Here is a 16266-nt window from a genome sequence, read left to right as displayed (position 1 = left end):
GAAGGTCTTGACTCAGTTTCCTCATTCTTGTGTTGAGATTTAAAAAAACACGTGCTAGAAACCGGCTTATATGCTTCCTTCCCAATCCCATCAGGTGGCCACCAGTCACCTGATCCTGATTTCAGATATGGTCTGAAGGTGTGGCTGATGAATAAGAGGGTTAGGGGGTTTTCCTAAAGGAAATTCAGGTGCTTTCACCCATAAACATAGAAAAGGACTCAGCAGGAAAACCTGTAGCTTTCCTCCACACTGGGCAGGATGTAGTGGAAGACTTGTACTCACTGATTTTTAGGGTGGACGCTATCAAAAATTCTGAGAGGCAAATGCCTTGTGTGGGCAGCTGGAAGCAGTATGGTGAGCTTGGTTTCCCAGGAGGTTTTTCAGAGAAATGAGAGAAGTAGGAGTGACTGTGAAATCACTGAAGGATTTTAGTAGGGCTCTGGAGATTGGGTCCCAAGGTTCTTCCCTCCATTTTCTCATGCCAGACTTGTGCAGCCTGGCCAGATTTCTGTGTGGCCTAGGTGTTTCCTCACTGCTCAGGAAAGAACGTCCTATTAGTTGTTTGAAACTGAAATTGGCCAGTGAGTTCTACTTCTACCATGCCTGCTGATGCTCCTTTCCTTTCTGAAGAGGCTCTTCCCCGTTAGGGTGACCCATCGTCCTCATTTGCCTGGGACTGTCTCAGTTTTAGCACTGAATGTTTTGCAACTTGGGAGAGTCTTCAGTGCGAGGCACACCAAGGCAGTTGGTCATCTGGAGTGGCGAATCGGCACACTTCATAGATGACTTGCATTTGACCGCAGCATGCTGATGCTGGGAACATCCGGGAGGAGCTCGCTGGCTGACGGCAGAGGCAGAATTGAAAACGGCTGAATCCAGAGAGCTGTGGTGGGGCTGGAGGTCAAGGCAAGCAGAGGCGTGAGGGGCTGTCTCACACAACACTGCAAGGAAGAGGCTTTTGATGGGGCCTTTGAATTAGGTATTGAGAAATGATCACGTCTGTGGATGGGGCTGGGGTAGGGATGGGCATGAACGTTTCAGCATGGTCAGGAGCTTGTATACACAGACAGCGTGATGAGAAGCCAGGCATTTTGGAGAGTGATGACAGCCGCCCCCTCAACACTCGCAAGGCGGGGAGCAAGTGTACAGATGGAGGCGTATATATCATGTGTCTAAATATTTAAAAGGTATAAACCAGGCTAGCAAGTTCTTAATTAAATATATTCTGTTCTCCTCCCTTGACAAATATACTTTCACAGCAATCTGGAAGACCGTGTTGGAATGTGGAATTCCTAGTTTCTGGCATTTCCTGCAGGAACGAGACAGCAGGGGAAGAGGTGGGCCAGATCTTCTCCCATCCCCTCCTCCCCTCACCCTGCTCCCTCCCAGGCTGCTAGGGGCCTCAGGCACACATGTGGACGCTGAAACTCCATCACAAACTCGGTCCACAACCCCTGCAAACAGCTGCCCTTTGGCTGCCCCAGGGGTGTGGCACTGGCAAGGAAGCGGCCAGAACAGGCCTTGAAAGTCTGCAGGGAATTCTCAGGTTCTGGGTACCAGAATGCGGTCTCTGGGGATGGCGTGGACATTGCGGGGGCACATCCCTGTTGGCCCTGCAGACTCTTTGCCCCGTGCGGCGGGGCACCTGTGGAGGAGGGCAAGCACGGAACGCTCCTGCCTAGGTCTGAGAATGATACTGAGTCCCGAGCAGTTCCCGGTGGCTGGAATGTCGTCGTGTTCAGCAGGAGCAGCAGCAGAGAACGCTGATTCCCATCGTGATAAGAGACGACGAAAATGGCGGCCCTGAATTCCTACCTCTGGTCTTTAGGAAGAGGAATGTCAGAAATAATGGAGTCTGATTTGGAAAGACCTGGGACATGGCCTGATGCTCTTCCACTCACCACACTCACGCAGATGTCGAGCACGTCCAAATCAATGTGTGGAACCTCCCTTTCTGACCCAGAAGTTCTGAGAAGCTAGACATCGAAAATGGCCTAAGCTACCCAACTGTCTCAGGTCGCTAGAGTTCCAGAGAGAAACCAACCACTCCAGAGGTGAGTCGGCTTATTTCTGGCAATACCCACTACTCCTGTGATGTGACTAACCTTTCTGAAGTAGACATGTCATTTCCTTGTCCTTCCATTAGAGGGAGCAAATGTGCATAAGGTCATCGATGACCCAGACGTTTAGCAGAGGAGCTTGAAGATACCTTCTGAAGCTGGTCTGCACTGCAAATTTTAACTCCCTGGTCCAAGCCTTAGTTTCTCCCGTATATGACCCCTTTGAGTATCTGACTAAAGGTTCCAGATGTTAATTATTTATAAGGAAAAATACCACACACATACCCCACCCACTCCTGCCCCCCAACACTCATATTTTCATTTTTTCTTGATTGAAAAGATAAATGAAAGCATGAAGGCTTCCACTTGCCTTGGGCCACATGAGACCATATTTTCACCCCCCAACATAATAACAGCCTTGTTTAGGCAGTCCTTGACATTTCCTAGTATTTTTAGAATTTCTTCCTTTTCACCGATCCCTGATGGATGACTCTAGGACTCTCCAGTTCTGCTATGAATAATGCTGTGCTCTTCACACTCTGACTCTGCTGTGAGAGTCCGTGCTGCGCTATTGAGCTCCAATCCCTTTTGCCTCTCCTAGCAGGCTCTGGAACACAACTGCCTGGGATGAACTCTGTTTATTCACATACCAGCTGTATGGCCTTTGGTAAGTAATTTAACTTCTCTGTGCTTGGTTTTCTCATTGGGAATGACCCGTCGTTGTAGCTTACCTCTGAAGATGGCTGCCATCAATTCCTTCCCTCCCTGTAAGTGTCTGTGACTCCCCCACTGAGGACTGGAGTCTACACCTTCAACCCCTTGAAACTGGGTGGGCTGTGGCTGCTTTAATGCCAGCCTGGTCATGCCTTTAGATGACTCCAGCCTCATCACCATCTAACTGCAACTGCGTGAGAGGCTCTGCCCAGCTGATCCCAGTCAAACCACAGAACCATGTGAAATAATAATAAATGGTTGTTTTAAGCCACTGTTTTGTGACACCGTGCAGCAAAAAGATAACCAAACTAAACATTGTTGGCAATGATAATAGTGTTTCCCTCATGGGGTGATATGAGGACTAAATGAGTTAATCTTCATTAGATGCTTAGAATAGCGCCTGGCAGTACTAGTTGCCATACAGAATATGTCGAATAAAAAAAGGAATGACCTAGGTCTCTGAAAGTATTAGAGTCTCAGGCCAATAAACACTCATTTTCAGGAAAGGACAGTATTTTTTATTGTTTTAGCTCTAGGTTCTTCCAAAAAATACCTTAGTCAATGTGGAATAAGTAGGTGGGGATGAAAACAGTGTCTTGGAGACCAAAAGGCTCAGAGTTGGTCCTGTCTGGCCTGGGCAAGCCCCTTAACCCCCTGGTCAGGGGTTTGTGACCAGCCTGGCCAACATGGTGAAACCCATCTCTACTAAAAATACAAAAATTCCCCGGGCATGGTAGCACGTGCCTGTAATCCCAGCTACTCCGGAGGCTGAGGCAGGAGAATCACTTGAACCCGGGAGGCGGAGGTTGCAGTGAGCCAAGATCGCACCATTGCACTCCAGCCTGGGCAACAGAGCGAGATTCCATCTCAAAAAAAAAAAAAAAAAAAAAATCTACCAAATAGCTTAGCCTAGTCTACCTTAAATGTGGGTCAAATGCTTACTTTAGCCTGCAGTTGGGCAAACTCATCCAATGCAATGCTTATTTTATGATAAAGTGTAGAATAGCTCATGAAATTTATTGAATACTGTACTGAGTAAAAAATGGAATGCTTGTATGGGTACTCAAAATATGGTTTCTACAGAATGTGTATTGCTTTTGCATAATCATGAAGTCAAAAAGTTGTAAGTGGAAACCTCAGAAGTCAGGGGTCATTTGTGTTGGTGTTTTCTGGATTCTTCCTTCTCTATACAAGCTTCATGGACGGGACACCTTGCACTCCTAGCTTCAACAATTCTAAAACCCAAAGACTATCCTTGATCCATCCCTAGCCCTCACTTCCCATATATCATCAAACATCACGTCCTGCTGATTCTCTCCCTTAAGTATCTCCCAAATCCTCCCCTTTCTCTCTATCTTCACTGCAATCACATCATCAGTTAAACTAAACTAAATTTGGCCTAAGGATGCCTTCATACTCAAGTCCAAAATGAACTGCAACCTTACTTAGTTGCATAAACTAACTAAATGCCTAAACTAACAGCTGAGTCTCAGTTCAGCAGCTGAGCTTCAGTCAATCTCAGACAGCTGACTGATTGACATAAGGCAAAACAGTGAGCTGTAGCCCATGAAGCTGCCTCTGTACCTTACTTCTTCCATTTTCTTCTTATAAATGCTGCCTGACTACGTTGTAGGCTGGAGTTCTTAAAACCTATTCTGGTTCTTAGGGGTCCCCAATTCACAAATGGTTCTTTGCTCAATTAAACTCTGTTACATTTAACTTGTTTAAGGTTTTTCCAGTTAACAAATCCAAGCCACTATAATCTCTAGCCTGCACAACTGCAGTAGCTTCCTAACTGCTCTACTTCTGGCCGCTACTGTCTTCCAAGCCATTGTCTACATTTCAGCCACAGTGACTTTTTTGTAATACAAAACTGATTAAATATACCTCTTCTTGTCCCAACCTGCTTTAAATAATTCAATGGCTTTCTGATGCTCTTAAGATCTTCTGGATCTTAAGAATAAGATCCAAATTCTTGGCATGACCTTGAAGGTTCTGCATGGTATGGCTCCTGTCCTCTAGTCTGATTTTAAATCAATTTCTCTGTACTCTGGCCACCACTGGCCTCCAAAGAACTGTGTTCCCTCCACAGGCTGCCCTTGATATCTGTTAGTCCCTCAACCTAGAAACTCTCTCTCCTTTCAACTCTTATTTATCTTTCAGACCTCAGCTCAAAAGTTACTTCCTCAGGTCTAGGTCTGAAAACAAAAAGTTACTTCCTCAAAGACAGCCTCCCTTGAACCTCCCAACTAGGTTACATTCCTCCATTAGATGTCCTCAGAGCACCATGCAGCCCTTCTGCATAGCATTTAGTATGGTTGTAAATAATCAGCTTTTTAGCCTTTTGTGTTCCCCACTATGTCACAGGCTCCAGGGACTATTTGTTTTGGCCATTCTTGTGCTGTACTCCCACCTCAAATATATTTTGAATGAATAAAATACAACTTTCAAATCCTTACCTCAAGTCAGTCTCCTCTTCTGAACTTCCAACCCAGGTATCTAGTTTGTTGGCAACACCATCCTTCTAATTGTTCAGGCCCAAACCTTGGTGTCATTTTTGATCCCTCTCTTTTTCAACCCCTGGTATCTACACCATTAGCAAATCTATCAGATCTGTCTTCAAAATACATCCAATATCTAAGCCACACAGAGTGTACCTCCTAATGGAAGAACATAACCCAACCTAAGAAGTTGCCTTGTTTCTTCCTAGACTGTGAACACCGAATTTCTTCGGAATGAAATTGCGAAGGGAAAAAATAGAAAATCTATAGATTATAAGACAGGTATATCAACTAATTGTAGTATGGGACTTTAGTTGGATTCTGATTCCAATTGTAAAAAATATATATATAATGATGAGACAACCAGAAATTTTAACGAATGGAACTTGATATTAAGGAAATGTTAATTTTTAAGGAATGGTAATGATATGGTTATATTAAAAATGTTGTTTACCTTTTTAGAGATGTATACTGACATATTTACAGATGAAATGGTATGATGTCTATGATCTGCTTCAAAATAATACAGTGGAGAAGGAAAGTAGGTGAGGGTATTGATGAAACAACATTGGCTGTGAATTGTTGATTGTTGAATGATGGGTACACTGGGTTTCACCAAACTATTCTACTTCTGCATAGGCTTGAAAATTTCCACATTACAAAATTAAAAATCTATCTCCAGAATGTGACCCATTTCTTACCATCCCCACTACTCCCACCCTCTTCCAAGCCACTGTCATCTCCCGCCTGTGCTGCCACAGTCTCCTATCTCATCTCCCTGCCTCCACCCTTGCCCCGGGCTGTGGTCTATTCAGTACACGCAGTAAGAGTGATCCTTGTAATCATATCAGATCCTTCCACTCTCTGCTGAAGTCCTCCAAAGGCTTCTCATCTTGCTTGGATATTGTGTTAACTCTCTCTGAGTTCATCTCTTACTACCCAGCCCCCTTCTTTGCTTGCCCACTGCCTTATGCTGTCAGGATAGAGGTCCAACTCTGGCAAAGCCAAGGCCCTGATGATGTGTCCCATGTGCCTCTCCAGGTTCATCATCCCAAACGCCAGACTTTTGGAACAACCTACATTCCCCGGTGGCTCCTTTGTTTTAGTTGCTCCTCTCTGGACCCGACGCCTCTGGTGAAGCCCAGCTCCACCAGCCCCCGCTCAGTATCACTTCTCTCTGCTTTGGTTCTAGGCCTCTTAAGAGCTCAGAGTTTTGTTTTATAATCATCTATTGTCTCATCAATCTCCTTCACCAGACTTAAGTTCCTCAAAGGCACAAGCTACCTCACATCTCTGTAGTCCTAGTTCAGCAGTAAAAATTAAGTATATTTTGAATGAATTAATTACAATTTTACATAAGTTAGCATTATTATTTTTTTTTGAGATGGAGTCTTGCTCTGTTGTGCAGGCCAGAGTGCAGAGGCACGATCTCAGCTCACTACACCTCCGCCTCCCAGGTTCAAGTGATTCTCCTGCTTCAGCCTCCCCAGTAGCTGGGATTATAGGCACCCACCACTATGCCCAGCTAAAGTTTTGTATTTTTAGTAGAGACGGGGTTTCACCATGTTGGCCAGCCCATTCCTGAACTCCCGCCTCGGCCTCCAACGTGCTGGGATTACAGTTGTGAGCCACCACGCCCGGCCACATTATTACATCTTTAAAATGTCTGTTTACCAGTTTCTCTAACTGGAATAAAATACTTTCACCTATAATTACATACAAGTCATATATTTTAAAATTATTGCAAAAAAGTGTTTGATTTTCCACAAAAACATTCTAAATAGAATGTTTTAGATGTTACTAATGAAATAATAAAATATAACATTTCTAACTAGTTCTTCATTCGTTGTCTAAATTTAGAGTGAATAGTTCTAAATTGCACACCCAGCCAACTTTCTTGCTCACTGACCATCTTGCTTGAGGAACTGGGTTAGGATGTACAAACTAGGGAGGGAGTAAAGGAGGCTTCTCTCTCCAGAAGAGAAATCAATAGCTGGTCAGGATTTGGGGAGGGCGAGGGGGATGCATTCTCAGATTTGGAGGAAACTGAAGTGGAAGAGCTGTTGCTTCTGTAAAAATAAACTGATAAGAGACAGATGGGAGTGCAACTAAATCAATCAGTAGGTGATGAGAAAAGATGAGTAGCAAGAATGAAAGTATCCGAAGTAATGGAAAAAAATATACTAACACTTTTGTTTTATGCTTTTACTTTCCCAATTGTTACAGATGCTTTCAATATTAAATCTGTTGTTCTTGTACATAATGAAGTTAGTTTTAGCAGATAACAGTTATCAAATTTTTGGTGAATCTGGTTTGGATTGCCCTTCCAATACAAAATTGATGCTACTGGCCAGCCACCGGTAGGCCTGGCAGTAATTTTCTCTGTGTTGGTGATGGACTGTGCTGCCTGAGCCACCGACATCCCCTCTCACATTGCCCACTGGGACAAACTGCAGGCATTTGCAAGATAGTTAGTTAGCTAAGTTTAGGAGTAGAGTCTGTGACGACGGAACGTATTTTTTTCTTTGTGTGAAAATTACCAGCTTATAATGCTATTACAATTTTACTCCATATCCTTAAAAAAGTGCACAAATTTTACTGATTTTATAGGGCAATCTCCTGAGATATAAGGGAAGCCCAATTCAGGGGAAGCTGAACCTGACACAGCCTCCTTTAATCCTGTTCCAGGGCAGTCACTAACTGCCATCCTAAAGCTGCATTACTTTATCATATCTCCTTTCCTCATACTCTGTTCAGTTTCTATAAATGATTTTTCTCTACAGTGTTGAGAAGGAACAAAAACATGGGCTTTGGAGTCAGGCAGACCTAGGTTAGCATCCTGGCTTTGTCTGGTTGTGAGACCTTCTCAAAGTCACTATAAAACGAGGATAATGAGGTCGAATTCTGGTGCGTGTGTGTTAATGAAATAGCCTATGTAAAGACATTGCCCAGTGCCTGGTACTCAATAAATGTAATTTGTTTCCCACGGATGAGTGGAGCAGAATGCTTCCTGGAGAGCATTTCATTCTCTGATTTATCATTATAAGATCAGGCCTATCCAAAACACTCAATCATCAGAAGACTTCAATCTCTTTTATTCTGCTTTTTTCCTAATGTCATAATCCATTTGACTCCTAAGCATGTAAGTAGGTACCACGGAATGTAAACAAGTAAGGAAACAGAAATAAACTGAATAATACGTGGAAACAAAGCTGTGACTCACACAGATGAAATAGCTGCACAAAAGAAATAACATGAAAACATTTAAAAAGAGACTTAATGTAGGAATAAGCTATTTTAATCAAGCAAAAACAAATTTATATCCATTATTTCTAAAAATAAAATTAGACTTTTCCAATCCTTAACATCTGCATTTAATAATATCTTCTAACCAAAATACAGATGCTAAAACAGCAAGTTACATTATATCTTGTACAGCATACAGTATGTTCACTGTTTACACTTACTTTAATTCTAGTTGGTCATGTACTCAATGCATACTTAAACATCACTCAATAAAATTTTCACAATTAACAAAAAAATGTGACAAGGCTGTCTTAAAACGGCTCTGCTATAAATTGTATAGAATATACAGAATTACAAAGTCAAGTATTTTTTTATCAAAATATACACCCCTCCCTGAAACTAACACAAGCTATCAACATTTTAAATGAATACAATTATAGAAAATATTTGCAAAATTATTTTTTCATGTATAAATATTCTGCCATATTTACTTTGGTCTAGAATTATCAGCATACAAGTCCACTTAAAAAATATCCACATATAAGGGCTGGGAGAGAGACATCACTACAGGTAATTTTATATTTGGGGTTAACTCAAATCAAAATGACTAGAATATACAGTAAATGTCTTTGATTAATATTATTAACTGATAAAACAAATTAGTGGATCATAGGATTGCTTATTCAATATTCTAATTATCAATTCAAAAATGATTTTCGTAAGCCCTTTGTGACTATCTCTTTAATAAAACCCAAATGAATAGTGTAGGGTGTACATATATACAATGTATAAAATAAAGTTGAATTTGCTTGCATTTTCCCATTTTTCTCTACTTATATAATACTGTATGTAAGTGAAAGTAGATGAACAAAAGATAAATGCAGATACAATAGTGGGGTTACTTAACAGCAAGGTACTACAGTATTAAAAGGTCAACTTTAATCATGTCCTTTCCTGGGCGTTTAAATGCTTTCTTACCCACCCAAATCCATACTAAGTCTTCTTCATGGAGACATCACACTTGTAGACAGAAACCGGAGTCCTTTGAGCTACTTCTTCACAATGATAACCTTCCAATCTTCGATAACCTTGGGTTTCCATCTGTCAAATCCAATGAACATGAATGACTGCAGGTCACGCTGAAACTGCATTCCGGATTCTGTTCACACTGGTGATCAAAGGGTAGAAATGTTTTCTCTCTCCCTTCTATTCTGGCAGTTTGAAAAAGAATCATGAGTTCCGGCTTTCCAGGAACCTAGTCCACATGATAGAATATGCTGTAGGGCAATTAGATTTGAGGGTAGTGTTGATGGTGTGGGTCAAAGAACATAAAAAAAAAACTTCAGTGGGTTTTTAGCAAGGGGTCTAGATGTCTGCAAATATGAAGACAGAGCATCTGGCTTTGTAGATATATTTCTGAGTCTCATAAGTAAAGGATAGAACCATGTCACTCCACATCCTACCTTCCCACCCCCTAAAAACAAAGCTACTGTTTTAGGCAAGGAAGGCCATCACTTCTTCTTGCCCACTCAAGTCATTAATGGGTGGGGTGGAGGGTGGGGGTTCCTTTGTCCTTTTGCTTTATACTAGTCTGTACTTGTGGGCTGCATAATCTCCAACAAGGCTAGTAATTGTAGGGATTAGGCAGTCACTTTCAAGTGCCTGGGAATTCACTACTGCAGTGTACCTTGCACTAAATCTCTTGGACAGTCCTTCAGTGGAATGGGAGATGGCAGGTTCCACTTGAGCCCTTAAGTCTGTCTGGAATAGACCCCCACATCCATGGCCTTGTGGTGGTTGGAAGACTGCAGAGAGTTTCAGAACAATGTGACCCTCTTTCATTCTCTGAGATGAGGCCATTGCAAAGTAATATGCAGCACAGGTAATCACAGGTAAATTCTGGGAGGGTGTTCCCCCATAGATAAGGCATGACCTATGTTTTCTGTGAATTGAGTAGACCAGTTCTAAGAACAGCTCAGCCATAACTTCAAGGGAACAGCATTCCATCTAAAAGCATTCACATGCTCTTAAATCATATTCAAAATGCTTTCTATTGATTTTTACATCAGTCCTCATTATTTGCAGATCTATTGCTCCTCATAATTCTCTACAGGGGATATGGACAGTTAAAAGTTATAGTGATTTATATATGTATTTTACAAGGTTTGTGTTGCAGAAAAGTAGTTCTACATAATGTATGAATGTCCTACTTTAGGTTACTCATTATGCACATAATTTCAGTTATATTGTTTAAGTATTTCATGTGTATCCATTAATTTAAACAAATTTTAATAGTGCAGAAGCCAGATGGGAATAAAGACCGTCACACAGCTTATTACCACGTAACATATTTACGAAGATGCCATCTTCAGGATATCTGACCCTTATTTTCTCCAGTGACTAAAGACAGTTCAGCAGCCAGTTCTTATTAGCAATTATTAGAAAGTTTTAAACTAGGCTAAAATTAAACTCCTTTTTTCACTGGTAGAAATACCACAGCTAAGAATTTTATTAACTTTCACAAGAAACTTGGGATATTGGAGGAGTCAGCTATTTTGTTTTTGTGCACTTTGCATAAAGTTAATGCTAAAACCCAAAGTAGATATTAGGATCCTTTTTCTGGAATTTTCACAAATGAGTTTTTTTTTTTTTTAATTTCACTCCTTCATGACTGTCACATGGACAAAATGAAACTAAACTTAAATCATAACTAAAAAAACCACCAACTATATTTTTGAAGATTTTTCTAATTCTTGCCACTCAAAGGACAACATTTTCCACACCGGTTTGTATGTTATCCTTTTGGTCATTGTCTTCTGAACCAATGAAATGTTGATTCTCCAAGGGATTTGAGTTTTCGTGGCACACGTCACCTATTTTCTCCTGCTGACTTGGGCTTTTGAATAAGTGTTTCTTTTGGTGCATTCCAAGGGCAGCAGCTGTTTTGCAAATTTTGGGGCACTGGAAGCAGGCATAGCCCTTCCCATTATGCTCCCGAATATGCCTCTGCTCGTGATTCCTTTTGGTGGAGAGATACAAAAATCTCTGAAAGCAGAACTGACAGTGGTAACGCTTTTCTCCAGTATGGATTCTTTCATGGATTTTGAGGGTCTCATTCAAGGTGAATGCCTTGTTGCAATACTGACAGACGAACTCCTTCAAGCCCAGGTGGATGCGTTCATGTTTCTGTAAGTTTCCTTGCACCGAAAAGCACCGTCCGCAGGTCTTGCACTGGTATGGCTTCTCCCCGGTGTGACATCTCATGTGCATTTTGAGTGTGGAAGGGCTCTGGAACTGCTTGGCGCAGAGCTCGCAGGCATATGGCCGAGAAGTAAGATGTCGGTGGGGCCTTCCTTGGTTTCCAGCCCCCACTGCTTTGTCTCCATCACAGAGTTCACACTGCAGCTTGGGCATCTCTTTAGTTTCTTCTTCCTCAAAGGGTTTATCCTGAGGAGCCTTCCCCACGGCGCAATCCAGTTCTGCTGGGTATTTACATTTATGGCTCGGGCTCCTGTTTCCGTGCTCCTTCCTCCAGTTGACTTTCCTCATTTTTTTCAACTGTCTGGATTTCTTTTTGGGTTTGTAGTTGTAGTAAGGGCGCCACGGTTTGTCAGTGGAATCCTGGTCACTTGCGTCATCGAACACTTCACTCATCTCCATGCACTCGGATTGGCAAAGCCCGAGTGGGCTGTCTCCACTGGGTTCTGGGTCATTCCCCTGTGGCAAAGGCTCCTCCTGCATCTGATACTTGGGTCTTCTCCCTCTTTTATAAAACAATTTAGATCCTAGAATGTGCCTTTTCACAATGGCTTCGTTTCCAATTTTCACTGTTATTTGGCAAAGGGGTGCAACATTACTATTTGTGGAGGTTCCCGGCAGAGCAGGTTTTGCAATGTAGGTTTCAATTTTGCTGGTTTCTTCAGCAATATTTGTGGTTTTGCTCAGTGATCCTCCAGGATCAGCAACATAGTTTGACTCCTCCGGTATTTCTCCCCTGGTATGTGATGTAGTTTTCTTTTTCTCCTTAATGCTTTTGGGTCTGCTTGCAAACCTACCCACTTTATCTGGCTCGGGCTTACTGTCATCTTTCAGGGACTGACTGACAGCTGGGTCTGAAAAGGCTCTGTGGTTGCTGCTGGTCATGGCAGCAATGGCATTGCTGTGCATGATCACCGATGAAAACTGGCTGCTGTGTACAATGACCGAGGGTGCAGAGCCACTGTAGCTGATCACAGAGGCGGCATTCTCACTGCTATTACTCAAAGATAAAACAGGTACATCCCCTGCCCGGAGGTCAGAACTGACAGCATTTTCAGTGGAAGAAACTGACACCTCAGTTGAATAAAAGTTATTGTCAAGATCCATTTTCAATGCCTCCTCTCCCCATTTGGTACCCTCTGCATTTTGTACATTGGCAGAAGTGGGTATGTCCTGACATGCAGATGTTTCCAATGGGATGGCTGGACTGTTGGTCAGGGTGTTTACAGTATCTTGGAAATTCAGCGTTGGTAATTCAGAGCTGTGTGGATTCTGAACAACATAGGTACCAGGTGCAGACTCATTCATTTGACTGTTTTCTCGTGCATTTTCATAGGAAGAATTTCGGTAGCTCTTATAAGGGGCTCTCTTGCATTTCATAGGCAGTAGCCTATAAAGTTTATACGGATAGACACTAGGCTTCAAGCCTCCATTTGCTGTTTTTTTACTGATGGAAAGTCTATGATCGATGGCATGGAAAGACTTCTGATGATTTTTGAGTATATAGTAGGTCATGAAAGTTTCAAGACAGAAAATGCACTGATATCGTCTTTCTCCCGTATGCCAAATTTCATGCCTTGTCCTGTACTCAGCCAATGCAAATACTTTGTTGCAGTAATGGCAAGGATATGTTCTTCTCCAGGAGTGAACATTTGCATGTCTTCGGAGGCTAGATAAGGTCACATAACTACGTTTGCACACAACGCAACTGTAGAGCATTTGCCCATTAACAAATTTAACCATGTGGTCCGTGTCTGGCAAAGTACTTCCGGTACTGGAAAATTCACCAATCCTATTTTCAGATAATAAAGGTTCTGGACCTGTGAATGAACCTCCATTTTGTCCAATGGTAGGATAGTTTTCTAAAAAGCGTTGGTTTCCTCCAGGAATGGGCATGTGGCTTGACCTCATGCAGATCTGTTCATGCCGATCCAACCTGTTCAGGGTGGTGAATTGTTTGTTGCAATACTTGCACACTAAAGGCTCCTGGGTTGGCTTGTGAAGCTGCATGTGGGCACTGAGCAGAGTGCTGCTGTCAAAGGCTTTGGAACAGCAGCTACAATTGTACACCAGAGGTGGAACCTCTGCGGCTGGCGGCCCGGGAACATCAGAAGATTGATTTTCATCTTCCCTGGAAAAATGGACATCTCCTTCATTGTTTGGAGATTTTGAACGAGTGAGAACAGCAGCTGGTTGTGGACTTCTTTCTTGATTAACCTCTAAGTTGGATACTGGAGGGGGTGGTATATTTTCTGTGGCTGAATCCGAATCCTGTGGTATGGAGAATGTCTTTGGCTTCCGGCATGTTTTCGGTTTCGCTGCAAGGGCTTCACAATTTTCTTTCCCTGTGTTACCAGGTGAACTGCCATCATGTTCACGTACAGGCTGACTTCTGTAAGCTTCAGCTACGGAAGAAACAGCGTATGAGTGCTCGGCAAGTGTGCGGACAGGCTCTGCCTCGTGGCAGACGTCCGTCCTCTCCAGGCAAAGGCTAGCTGTTCTCATGGAGTCGGAGACCTTTTTGAAACTTGCCCTCAAGTCCAGCGGGGAAAACATGTTATTACTATTTTCTGTTTCGATGATGGAAAATGCATTTGTGATCCTTGGCCCATTAGTGATGGCTGGTTCTTCATGCCTTTTTTCATTTTTTTCTTCTTTAACCACTCCCTTTTCAGTAATACAGAATACATAGGGACCCGGGGAATTTGAGAAGTTGCGATCAGTAAGGTCTTCCAAGAACGATATTCCCAGCTTTTTTCCTGCAGCTGCGAGATCAGTGACTGTTTCCTGTCTCTTGACAACGACTGTGGAACTGTAGATATAATTAAGTATTTCAGTAAACACTTCAGCTTTGAGATCGTCCAGCTCCAGGACGTGGCTGGAAATACAGATTGTATGGCTCCAAAAGATATTTTTAAAATACAGGCTTGAAGCTGCCAGAACATTGCTATGGGCTTTAAATTTGGTATCTTCCACAATGATAGTGACATCGCATAAAATGCCCCGAATGCGCTGCTCATTTAAGATGGAGAGTACCGTGTCACTGTGAAAGTCGTCCTTGAGGTCCCTGGAAAGGGACATGACTGTCATCTGAAACAAGAGGAGAGAAATGGTCAGATAATCTTCCACAGGTGGCTTCTTTATCTCTAGACTATTTTCCACTTCTGTGAAAAACTGTTCTTTTGTATGAAACTTCAGGTTTTTATCTCATTCTGTTGATGCTCCCGAGACTCAAGAGTCAACATTAGAAGCTAAATCTTTTTCTTGCCCCAGCCTGTTTCTCATACCATTGCTAATAGTTGTTATCATTGGAAATCCTCCCAGAACTCCTTCCCCTTTTCTCCAAAGTTGGAGCTATATATACATGTCCAAATTTGGGAGGGGAGGAGGTTTTTTTTTTTTTTCTGAAATGTTAAGGGTCTCATCATCATTCAAGGCTGCTGCTTTGAACTACTAGAGCTGGGCAATGCCATGGTCCTGCCAGAAGCTTCCTGCCTATTTTCAAAGAGAAATCTGATGATCCAGTCACAACCATGAAGCAGGAAAATGATTTTTTTTTTTTTGAGACAAAGTCTCGCTCTGTTGCCCAGGCTGGAGTGCAGTGGTGTGGTCTCCGCTCACTGCAACCTCCACTTCCCCGGCTCAAGCGATTCTCTCACCTCAGCTTCCTGAATAGCTGGGACCACAGGTGAGAGCCACCACGCCCGGCTAATTTTTGTATTGTTGGTAGAGACAGGGTTTCGCTATGTTGCCCAGGCTATTTTTTTAAATGAATTTTCCTTAAGTGGTACCTATATGCAAAGCTATTGCCCACTCAGAGAAGAAGCAAGAACTGAAGGAGCCCTTCCTAATTTGTGGCTCATAAGGGTCAATCTCTAGAGTTGCAGGGTGTGTAACCAAGTCTGACCACCAGGGGCACCCCCGCCTCTCTGCGCTATTGGCCCTATGGTGACTCATCAGGTTCCTTTTCTAGTTTCCCCTTTAGTAGAGACAAAGTAGACTAGGGTTTTCAAAAAGAACTGTCAGGTACTGAAGGCAACTAAAAAGGAGACAAAATGTAAAACCAGGAAAGGACATTTCTAAGTCCTTTGACAAGAACGGACAAGAATGAATCTAGTCATAGATTCCTGAATTAGCACAACTTCAAGGCACAGTGGCTCTTGTTCTGGTCTGAGGATCCCATCTCCATTCTTCTCTGTATTTTCTATATTCTCTATATAAGTCCTATTCCATGAGTCTGGTGTGCTAAAGCTTACTAACTGATATTATAGTGAGGGGCAGTGAAAAGTAGCAGCTTTCATACTTCCCACAGTAAGAGATACACAGTACATAGTGACCTAAGACACAAATGAAATTAACACTCACCCTTACTAGGTGTGATGCATTCTGTTCTGCTCTAGTATTTTTCTTTTCTTTCTTTTTCTTTTCTTTTTTTTTTTTTTTTTTGAGATTGAGTCTCGCTCTGTCACCAGGCTGGAGTGCAATGG

The 16266-nt window shown here is 42.5% G+C and overlaps 1 protein-coding gene and 1 long non-coding RNA gene across 117 annotated transcripts in view, besides 3 other annotated features; one reads left to right on the top strand and one right to left on the bottom strand.

Moving 5' to 3' along the window:
* Nucleotides 1037-1679: an enhancer, noted in NCBI's record as "H3K27ac-H3K4me1 hESC enhancer chr3:141174421-141175063 (GRCh37/hg19 assembly coordinates)". NCBI's record gives its function as "activates a minimal SCP1, AML or CMV promoter by ChIP-STARR-seq in naive H9 embryonic stem cells {active_cell/tissue: H9 hESC(naive)}" and the evidence as "EXISTENCE:reporter gene assay evidence [ECO:0000049][PMID:30033119]".
* Nucleotides 1373-8619, top strand: LOC124906291 (uncharacterized). The gene is made up of 2 exons (XR_007096120.1): nucleotides 1373-2054; nucleotides 2662-8619. It is a non-coding gene; the product is annotated as an uncharacterized LOC124906291 (long non-coding RNA).
* Nucleotides 4987-5126: an enhancer, noted in NCBI's record as "active region_20632". NCBI's record gives its function as "activates an Ori minimal core promoter by ATAC-STARR-seq in GM12878 lymphoblastoid cells {active_cell/tissue: GM12878}" and the evidence as "EXISTENCE:reporter gene assay evidence [ECO:0000049][PMID:35858748]".
* Nucleotides 5920-6092: a silencer, noted in NCBI's record as "fragment chr3:141170008-141170180 (GRCh37/hg19 assembly coordinates)". NCBI's record gives its function as "represses an EF-1alpha promoter that drives an FKBP-Casp9 reporter gene in an ReSE screen in K562 erythroleukemia cells {active_cell/tissue: K562}" and the evidence as "EXISTENCE:reporter gene assay evidence [ECO:0000049][PMID:32094911]".
* The window catches only part of ZBTB38 (zinc finger and BTB domain containing 38), a 125607-nt gene continuing 116806 nt past the window's right edge, over nucleotides 7466-16266 (bottom strand). For all 116 annotated transcript variants that reach the window (XM_047447856.1, XM_047447857.1, NM_001080412.3 and 113 more), the window contains one exon: nucleotides 7466-14869. In XM_047447856.1, coding sequence (XP_047303812.1) covers nucleotides 11282-14869 — 3588 coding nt within the window. In that variant the 3' untranslated portion in view covers nucleotides 7466-11281. The remainder of the gene's footprint in view (nucleotides 14870-16266) is intronic.

This window comes from Homo sapiens, chromosome 3 (assembly GCF_000001405.40).
Source record: "Homo sapiens chromosome 3, GRCh38.p14 Primary Assembly".
Lineage (NCBI taxonomy): Eukaryota > Metazoa > Chordata > Mammalia > Primates > Hominidae > Homo > Homo sapiens.
The sequence above is the reverse complement of the archived record's forward strand: the minus strand, read 5'-3'. Positions and strand labels throughout refer to the sequence as shown.